The 9,455-nt window shown below is 42.7% G+C and overlaps 1 protein-coding gene across 32 annotated transcripts in view, besides 5 other annotated features; it reads right to left on the bottom strand.

Annotated features, from left to right (window-relative positions):
• CHRM3 (cholinergic receptor muscarinic 3) overlaps positions 1-9,455 on the bottom strand; it is a 528,883-nt gene that overhangs the window by 100,269 nt on the left and 419,159 nt on the right. The gene's annotated exons all lie outside the window — the stretch shown is intronic.
• Positions 284-825: an enhancer, noted in NCBI's record as "OCT4-NANOG-H3K27ac hESC enhancer chr1:239977657-239978198 (GRCh37/hg19 assembly coordinates)". NCBI's record gives its function as "activates a minimal SCP1, AML or CMV promoter by ChIP-STARR-seq in naive H9 embryonic stem cells {active_cell/tissue: H9 hESC(naive)}" and the evidence as "EXISTENCE:reporter gene assay evidence [ECO:0000049][PMID:30033119]".
• Positions 3,369-3,869: an enhancer, noted in NCBI's record as "OCT4-NANOG-H3K27ac hESC enhancer chr1:239974613-239975113 (GRCh37/hg19 assembly coordinates)". NCBI's record gives its function as "activates a minimal SCP1, AML or CMV promoter by ChIP-STARR-seq in naive and primed H9 embryonic stem cells {active_cell/tissue: H9 hESC(naive and primed)}" and the evidence as "EXISTENCE:reporter gene assay evidence [ECO:0000049][PMID:30033119]".
• Positions 3,870-4,371: an enhancer, noted in NCBI's record as "OCT4-NANOG-H3K27ac hESC enhancer chr1:239974111-239974612 (GRCh37/hg19 assembly coordinates)". NCBI's record gives its function as "activates a minimal SCP1, AML or CMV promoter by ChIP-STARR-seq in naive and primed H9 embryonic stem cells {active_cell/tissue: H9 hESC(naive and primed)}" and the evidence as "EXISTENCE:reporter gene assay evidence [ECO:0000049][PMID:30033119]".
• Positions 4,372-4,873: an enhancer, noted in NCBI's record as "NANOG-H3K27ac hESC enhancer chr1:239973609-239974110 (GRCh37/hg19 assembly coordinates)". NCBI's record gives its function as "activates a minimal SCP1, AML or CMV promoter by ChIP-STARR-seq in naive H9 embryonic stem cells {active_cell/tissue: H9 hESC(naive)}" and the evidence as "EXISTENCE:reporter gene assay evidence [ECO:0000049][PMID:30033119]".
• Positions 4,874-5,375: an enhancer, noted in NCBI's record as "NANOG-H3K27ac hESC enhancer chr1:239973107-239973608 (GRCh37/hg19 assembly coordinates)". NCBI's record gives its function as "activates a minimal SCP1, AML or CMV promoter by ChIP-STARR-seq in naive H9 embryonic stem cells {active_cell/tissue: H9 hESC(naive)}" and the evidence as "EXISTENCE:reporter gene assay evidence [ECO:0000049][PMID:30033119]".

Genomic DNA, 9,455 nt, shown 5'->3' with positions numbered 1-9,455 from the left:
AATTTACTTTTTCTCTACTATCCAATAACATGACACAGTGCTAAACTGCATCAAAAAAGATCAATGGGTACTTTGCCAGAGAAAAGAAAAGGAAAAGCAAACAGCGGGCCGGGCATGGTGGCTCATGCCTGTAATCCCAGAACTTTGGGAGGCCGAGGCAGGTGAATCTCTTGCAGTCAGGAGTTCCAGACCAGCCTGGCAAACACGATGAAACCCCATCTCTACTAAAAATATAAAAATTAGCCAGGCATGGTGGCGTGTGCCTGTAATCCCAGCTACGTGTCTGGGCAGGAGAATCGCTTGAAGGGAGGCAAGAGGTTGCCGTGAGCCGAGACTGCATCACTGCCCTCTAGTCTGGGCGACAGAGAAAGACTGTGTCTCAAAAAAGAAAACAAATAAATAAAAAAATAGAAAAGAAAAGCAAACGGCAGAGTAACAGGAAAAATCACTGACCTGACCGTGAGTCACCCTCAGCAGCCACTTGCTGGGCTGAAACACAAGCTATCATTTATAGGACTTCTGTGTGTGGACCATCTTTCTCACTAGTGCATAGTCACTAATCACTTGTCTCAACTCAGGGAAGACTTAATCAGCATTAAAGGCAATCTCATTGGCATCTTGAATGATAAAGGTGCAGGCAGGTACGCATGACAGTTACCACAGAGGAAAGAAAACAGGTGCATTTCCTCCCGTGGTGAGGGCTGGGAGGCAGAGGGAGCTCTGGACATCTCTGAAATGCATGTTACATTCATCTCCAGCCCCAGGCAGCTTTGATGTGACTCATGACCATTTCTCTTACGTGTGACTAAGAGTAAAAGCTGCCAACACTGTAAGGAGAGGAGGCTGGATTTGCTGAGAAATGCACCAAACACACTCCACAGTGCCCTTCTTAAAAATCAAACATCTCCCACGAGCAAAACCTAGGTAATGCGCATGAATTTAAAATACTGAGAGAGAGAAACAAAGAGAGGGAGAACCCACACTAAAGTTCTCACTTTAAAATTAACAATTTGACTTCTCGTCCAGGGACACCTAAAATGATTATTATCCCTTGTTTAAATTTAGACTTAAATAGCCAAAAATTCCTAAATTGGCCTTCTGAGACTGTTTCTGCATTAGTTTATGTATTTATTTATTTATTTATTTTTCCTTAAAGCGAGTAATGACTTTCACAGGATTATTGTGACATCTGGGTGCAAATAAAAGGAAAGGGCTTCATCAATAGGAAGGCAGTCTACAACTGTGAGTTTTTTTTTTTTTTTTTTGAGACGGAGTCTCGCTCTGTCGCCCAGGCTGGAGTGCAGTGGCGGGATCTCGGCTCACTGCAAGCTCCGCCTCCCGGGTTCACGCCATTCTCCTGCCTCAGCCTCCCGAGTAGCTGGGACTACAGGCGCCCGCCACTACGCCCGGCTAATTTTTTGTATTTTTAGTAGAGACGGGGTTTCACCGTGTTAGCCAGGATGGTCTCGATCTCCTGACCTCGTGATCCGCCCGCCTCGGCCTCCCAAAGTGCTGGGATTACAGGCGTGAGCCACCGCGCCCGGCCAACTGTGAGTTTGATGGTTTCTGTTACTTCACTTTCTTGGGACTTCCTGAAGTCTTCTCTCTATTTTGGAGAAGACTAGGGGAGTAGAAGATATATATTTGCTGAGGCAGCTGAGAAAGATGAATGTTTGCAAAAATTAATAGTATAAAGAAACAAGTGTTTTTGGTCACAGAAGTGTTAGAAATGCCACTTTGTCATTAGTCTAATGACTTATGGACTTAGCCAGTTAGTCCAAATTATTTTTTTCTCTCTTTAAGTTTTATTTCTTAGAACCATTAATATACTGACTTGCATCTACGAATCTCTGAAGAGAGAATACAGTAAGTACCTTTTACTAAATTTATTTATTTATTTTTTTGAGACGGAGTCTCACTCTGTTGCCCAGGCTGGAGTGCGGTGGCACAATGTCGGCTCACTGCAACCTCTGCCTCCCGGGTTCAAGCGATTCTCCTGCCTCAGCCTCCCAAGTAGCTGGGATTACAGGCACCCGCCACCACGTCAGGGTAATTTTTGTATTTTTAGTAGAGATGAGGTTTCACCGTATTGGCCAGGCTGGTCTCAAACTCCTGATCTTGTGATCTGCCTGCCTTGGCCTCCCAAAGTGCTGGGATTACAGGCATGAGCCACTGTGGCTGGCCACAAAATGTATTTTTTAAAGGAAGTTTCATGGAACCAGCTTTCTGCAAGAGACCGTTCAGGAAATGGTGCAGTGATGAAAAGGGTGCACATTTTGGAGGGAGAGGCATTGGAGGGCAGACTCCAACTTTGCTATTTCCCACCTATGTGACCTTGGACATTTAACCCCTCTGAGCCTTGTGCCTCATCAGTAGATTAAAATACTTTGTACTTTCAGGTCATTGGATTGGAAATTGAGTAATGTGCTTGGCACAGGGCTGGCACAGGTAGGCACCCAGCCCATGGTGGCTAGATCACTGTTTAATTTTGCATGATAAATGGATAGTTTGCTCATTAGAAGCATATGTTTGAAAATAAATTTTTGTTTTGCCACTGTAGAAAAACACAATTAGTGTAAGTCAGCCTTACACAGACCTTTATACAAAATCACTTTAAATAAAATCTTTGAAAATTAAACCATCCAACTTTGTATTTAATTATGCAAAAACCCTCTAATCTCCTTTGTTTATCTCTCATTTTACGTAACACCTTGAGTTGTTCTACTCAGTGGATAGGGTTCTCTTTCTTACCTAAAGGCATTTACCTAATGCCACCACTGCTCAAATGATGTTAGGTACCTTACTCAGCACACACTAAATCCCATATAAAAATGATCAAATTGGCCAGCCACAGTGATTCATGCCTGTAATCCCATTACTTTGGGAGGCCAAGGCCAGAGGATCACTTGAGCTGGGGAGTATGAGACAAGCCTGGGCAACATGGCAAAACCCCATCTCTACAAAAAATACAAAAATTAGCTGGGCATGGTGGCACACACCTGTGGTCCCAGCTACTCGGGAGGCTGAGGTGGGAGAATCACTTGAGCCCGGGAGGAGGAGGGTGTAATGAGCTGAGATAGTGCAACTGCACTCCAGCCTGGGTGACAAAGGGAGATTCTGTCTCACAAACCAAAAAACCTAGCACATATCAGCCTCTTGATAGACTTTTTTATTAAACAAATGAATAAACTCATAAATCGATATGAATTAAACACTGACTTATGCCTTCTGCCTTTTTCCATGTTGCTTACTTGCAAAATCTATCCATTAGTTTGGTTGCGTCCTCATAATCAGGTATCTTCTGCTGCTACAAATTGTCTATTTTTTTTTAAAGGCTTTAAAACATCCTCAAACTGTGCTGCTTAAAGTAATATTGAAACAGCTCCTTCTCCTCCTAGAAATTTCCCCTAGAGAAACTTTTAACATTAGGTGGCCTGATAGCCACATAAAATATGCAAAGCATGAGTCAATATGCAGGTCCCATTCCGGTGTATCTTTTTCTAATTTCTAAAGGTTAGGCAGCCAATGAAACCAGCACATGCAAGAGAGAGAGACTTTGCTTTATAAGAATGCTTTACCTCATTCTATTCTGGTGAATTGTACTAGGAAAAGCAAAGTATCAAAAGTGTCAGATGCTGTCAAAGGAGTCTGTGAATAGCTTTGTTAGGCTGGAGCAGAGGAGGCTGACAGCAGATCAGGGGAGAATCTGTGGTGAGGGAAGGGCTGGGCTGCAACAGCTGAGGCTGATGTGAAGGGCTTTAGGGCACAGCAAGGAGCCTTCGGTGCAGGAGTGACAAGATCAAAGTGTCTGGCAAGGAAGCTAATTTTCACAGCGGTCTTGGATGGCCTGCATGGGAGACAATGGGTCTTGCGGTTAGCATGTCAGCACGCTTTCTGGCGCCAATTGTGCTGCCACATCATAAGAGCTAAAATAAATCTAATGGCAGACTACCTAGGAAACACAAAACGCATGAACCTCATTGTGTGGGTCTGCTCTCCAGTCACAGCACATCCTCTGGGATACCTTGAAATGCTATTGGGATTTTGAGTCAGGACGGCTTCTATCAATAAAACAAAACAGTTCAAATTCATAAACTGTTCGAATTCAAAAACACTTTAAAAGGAAGGACACTTTTAATTCACACATATATGTTTAATTTGACTATGAATAGGCAAGATATGAAGGTGGTTCTGTGCTTTTAGAGACAAAACTTATGGCGATTCCAAGGATTTCTTTGGAAGCCGTAGCTCAGTTAGAACCTGTACAAACAGGGATAGGTACTTGGTAATGAAATTTATTCTTACAGATGGCGATTTTCAGAAATGTTACCAGGGCACAACACAGGATGTGAATGGTCAAATGAGGACAACTACTGCTCTTGGCCTCAAAGGGTTGATAAACAGGTAGCAGTGTTTAATCACAACTAAATAGTTCAACCTCATGGGTTAGCTCTCACTAACAAGTGATCAAGGTGCCTTTGGCCTTGGCCAAGGACATGCCGATAATAATTATAATTACTCTGAATTTAACATTTGTCACTCGGCCCTCAATGGTGGCTACTGGAAAATGCAACTTCCAGTAAATCTCAGGCAAATAACATTTGGGATAAGTGACATGGGTTGAAATTCTTGAATCCTAAACACATCATTTGGAAATCCTCCCCCTTCTCAGTCCTCCAGGCTTGTTCCCCTCAATGATCTTGAGAAGCATTTTCTTTGATCTCACAGCAGGAAGTAACACTCCCCTTGCTGGCCTGGCTATCCTCATCCCTGAGAAGACAAGCAGCGTGGTCCCCTCCGCCCTGGGGAAACTACAGGCTGTGACTTCAGCCCCCTTATGTCTGTGGCTCTTTCTGCAACGGAGCTTCAATGGGAAGACAAAGCATGCCCTCAAGTCCCCCCGCATTCCTTGAATCTCCTGGGGAATCCGAAGCAGCAAGGATCCCTTTTTGGTGAGGATTACCTCACAGCTGGCATTTCATCACGGCCCTAGGGAATGCAAAAGGATGCGTGGAAGAAGAGTCATTATATGCTGGCAGCTGCAACACACAGATCAGCTTCTGTCCCCCAAGCTTGTGGCTTGGCACACGCAGATCAACACTACAATAATGGTGGCTGCATTCCATACGCGGCCTCCTTTGAGTGCAATGAATCTTAAGGCAGATGCAGAATCTTACCCGTCTCAAGATAAAGATCTGCAATAGCTATAACACCTCCTCCTTAGTCGAGCAGACACTACCTGCTACCTTCATCTTTACTGAATCCCTCTACCAGCCCAGGTGCAGAAGAGTGTGGCTTTCTTATCTTTTCATAAGGCCCAAACATCTCAGTGGAAAGGACAAAAGGAGACTTTGGTGAAGCAAATTGGAAAACAACTACAGTAGGCCAGGCATGGTGGCTCACGCCTGTAATCCTGGCACTTTGGGAGGCCGAGGCAAGAGGATAGCTTGAGTCCAGGCTTTCGAGACCAGCCTGGGCAACATAGGGAGACCCTGTCTGTACAAAAAAAATTAAAAATTAGTCAGGTGGTGTGACGTGCACCTGTAGTCCCAGCTACTTGGGTGGCTGAAGTGGGAGGATCACTTGAGCCTGGGAAGTTGAGGCTGTAGTGAGCTGTGATCATGTCACTGCACTCCAGCCTGGGCCACAGAGCTAGACCCCATCTCAAGAAAACAAACAAACAAAAAACAATAAAAAAACAGTAAGTGGACCTCGGACTCATTCCTAGGAAGGGGACACAGTGAGGGAAGATGGAAAGAAAAAAATGAGGAAGTGGGCGAACAGACATTGGGTTCACTGCTGGAATCTTATGGGTTCAGAAGTTGACCTTCTAAGGCCTTTGGATTAAAAATAGACTTCAGAGGCCGGGTGCGGTGGCTCACGCCTGTAATCCCAGCACTTTGGGAGGCCGAGGCGGGCGGATCACGTGGTCAGGAGATCGAGACCATCCTGGCTAACATGGTGAAACCCCTTCTCTACTAAAAATACAAAAAAACTAGCCGGGTGTGGTGGCGGGTGCCTGTAGTCCCAGCTACTCGGGAGGCTGAGGCAGGAGAATGGTGTGAACCCGGGAGGCGGAGCTTGCAGTGAGCCGAGATTGCGCCAATGCACTCCAGCCTGGGTGACAGAGCAAGACTCTGTCTCAAAAAAAAAAAAAAAAAATGGACTTCAGAGTCAAAGACCCAGACTTTGACAGGGTGAGGGAAATATCAACTCACCAACTTCTTCATTTCTTCCTTTTGTAAAAAGTAACATGCAGTGCTTAAGTGGGAACTTGACAAGACTTTACAAGTAGGAAAAAGCAGTATTCTAAATAGGCCTTTTCAATAACTGCTTGTCCACTGCACCAATACAAGCAGTCGTTTCTGATGGGTTTTCTAAGAGAGTGCTGATTTAATTCTCACAAACAGTGTATTTCTAGGAAATGCAAGTATTGGGGCAGTTCTTTGGAGGGCTATCACAGAAAGTACAGGAAAAGCCTGAGATTATGAATAAAATCAGTGGTTCACTCGCATTTCCTTCATGATCCACTTCTAGTTATAGGAAGCGGTAGGGCTTATCACGAAGAATTGGTCCAATCGATATGGCAAAAACTATCGCTAGGCATTTTAGGTGGCAAATAAGAGACTCTCATCTTTATTCCGTTAGATTTGATCTCGTACTACAGCTGGGAAAGATCACTCGCACAGGAGTGAAAACAGTTCACACAGCAGGTAATTAAGGCAGGATGAAGCTGTCCCCTTACCCACAGTGTCATTCTAGGGCAAACTCTGTCTCCCTTTGTTCGTATGTCCAACATGAATCTCCACCTTCTCTGTTGCAGATTAATCCTGTCCATAAAATGACCTAGCATTTTATTGAGTGGTATCAGAGCTGTACTGATTTACTCTGCCTGAAGGTCACATACGAGGATAAACAAAAAAAAGTATTGCAATTCCTTTCTGCACATCTGACTTCAGCTACGACTTGTCACAGGGAGCTGGAGAGCTTTCTCTAGGGCTGTCTTCCTCGAACTCCCATGGAATTTGAACTCCCATCAAAACACTGGGACTTTGGGGCTAGTCAGATATGGGGTCAAAACAACCAGTTTTTCAAAAAATAAAAAGGCAGACGATTACCGATAAAGAATTCCAAGGAATTTTGGAATATGTTTCTTTAAAAAACTTCATGTTTTATATAACTAATGAATATTCATTGCAGAACAGCTTGAAACAGAGGGAAGAAAAGAATAATGAGATAATCATAATGACTTATGATGCAGCCACCAAGCAGCAAATTCTTTTATCACTCTGGAATATCCCAGCATTTTGGGATATGTGTGCGTGTGTGTGTGTATGTGTGTGTGTGTGTGTGTGTGTGTGTGCGCAAAGCAAAAACACTCAATTACATGTACTCTCAGTTTCTTACAGCAAATCTGCTTCTCTTCTATATACTAAAAGGTATAAATGAGATTTTTAATGTGATTAAGTTGATGAGCTAAAATTTAACAGAGCATGTAAAGATCAAAGATGAAGTGAGGAAAGCCAGAAACATTTCACTTAAATATCTGAATGCAATGCATGATTACTAAGCCAAAGAAAAACTATTTATCTGGCCTGAGAATGTTATTTAAATCCCAGGCTCATTCATGCTAAACAGAGGCAACATTTTCCATTCACTTCTCCAAGGCTTCTCTTCTGGTGGAAGTAACCCCTCCTTTCATTCCCCCTGTAGCATTCCTATTTATGGGCTTAATGCCCACAATTGAGAAGGATAAGTTTAGAAGGTGTTCATTGCCAAAATGATGATATTTAAATGGTAGGTCAATTTTAAACAAGGTGACTTTTTCAGGTTGTGCCAATCTGTAAACATTATTCTTGCCATAGTACTATAAATGAAAATCCAATAATAAAAAGGCCAGAAGAAGAATTATTTAGAATGATGTATTAAGGAGTTGGAGCTACTTTTCTTTCTCTAATGAAGTAAAAAGAAACTGCATTTTAAAGTTTAAAAAGTCACATAATCTTCCACCTAAATAGGACTTTTATTTCTTTTATGTTCTTATTGTGTTCACAATCAAAACCTGCAGAAGAAAATATTTGTCAAATCATCACATTTTGCTTTTGGATGCAATCATCTAATACCAACCCCAAATAAAGAAATTATATTAATGGAAATTTTCATTATTATCACCATCAAAACTCATGTGGAGCCAGGAACAAGTAGAATATTCTCTGGCTTGGGTGCAGCCTATGGAATGACGGCAGGTACTACTCTCAAAACAGAATGTACGCTTCTTTGGAATTCTTCTGTGAACAGTTTATTAATTTTACGCCTTGAAAGGTAATGGAAGTACACCTAGTATTGCCAGATACTCTATCTCTTCTTCCAGCATTTCTCCTTATTGGCCAGCATTGCCTATTCTGAACAACTAAAAGAAATTAAAAAGTTAAAATGTACCTCTTTTTTAGAAAGCAGAGATAGCATGCAGGTATGTGTATGTTTTCTACAATATCTACAATATGTGCGTTTCTCAAAGCGAACACAGTAACTTTCGTCTCCAAGAGGAAGCCCTGCCTGTATGGCTCATCCCCACACTCCCAGCCACGTGACTTGCAACTATGCAGGCCTAATGCATCTGGCCTACTAATTCACTTACTGCTCTCCATTTAATTCCTGCAGTCAATCCTATTTTTTCCTAAGCACACCCATCTGCTCCCAATAGATTCAACAATTACAATCTCTGGATGTCCACAGGGGTGTGTGTGTGTGTGTGTGTGTGTGTAACTCCATCCTGGATGTCCACAGGTGTGTGTGTGTTGTGTAACTCCATCCTGGATGTCCACAGGTGTGTGTGTGTGTGTGTTGTGTAACTCCATCCCATTGGATACTGCAGGTCTGCTTAACACCTGGAAGTGCAAGTGGCTTCACAAGCAAATGAGGCCAAAGCAATTTTAAGCAGACAGTCGGGAGACTGGAAGATCAGACATTCTGAGGTTTTTCAGTTGTTGTTCAAAGCTGGGAAAAAGGTGCCACTGAATTAGAGGCTGGCAGCTGAGGGCTAATTACGACATCTCAGAACTTCTCTCAGGGATTTTCAGCCAGGAGTGGAGTCAGGGTTTGAAGTGGACCTATGCCAAAGGTGTCTGAGCCGGCTGGGTTCCCCCACAGACTAGGGAATCAAAAGCTTTCAAAATGCAGAATCAAGCTCCAAGAGAGATTCCTGTTTTGTTTTGTTTCGTTTTTAACGTGGTAATGAAATTGCAACTATCAAGATGCCAGGAAGAAACCGTGAAAGCAAACCTCTTTAGAACTAACCAAGAAGGGAAATCAAGTGCTTTTATGTTAGTACAGTTAATAATAATAAAAATAATGAGGCCAATAATAATCTTTGCAGAGTGTTTTATACTTCGTAAAACATTTTAAAGTACACTGGTTCATTTAGCTCTTACAATAATATTCTGATATATATGGCA

Source organism: Homo sapiens, chromosome 1 (genome assembly GCF_000001405.40).
Source record: "Homo sapiens chromosome 1, GRCh38.p14 Primary Assembly".
NCBI lineage: Eukaryota > Metazoa > Chordata > Mammalia > Primates > Hominidae > Homo > Homo sapiens.
The sequence above is the reverse complement of the archived record's forward strand: the minus strand, read 5'-3'. Positions and strand labels throughout refer to the sequence as shown.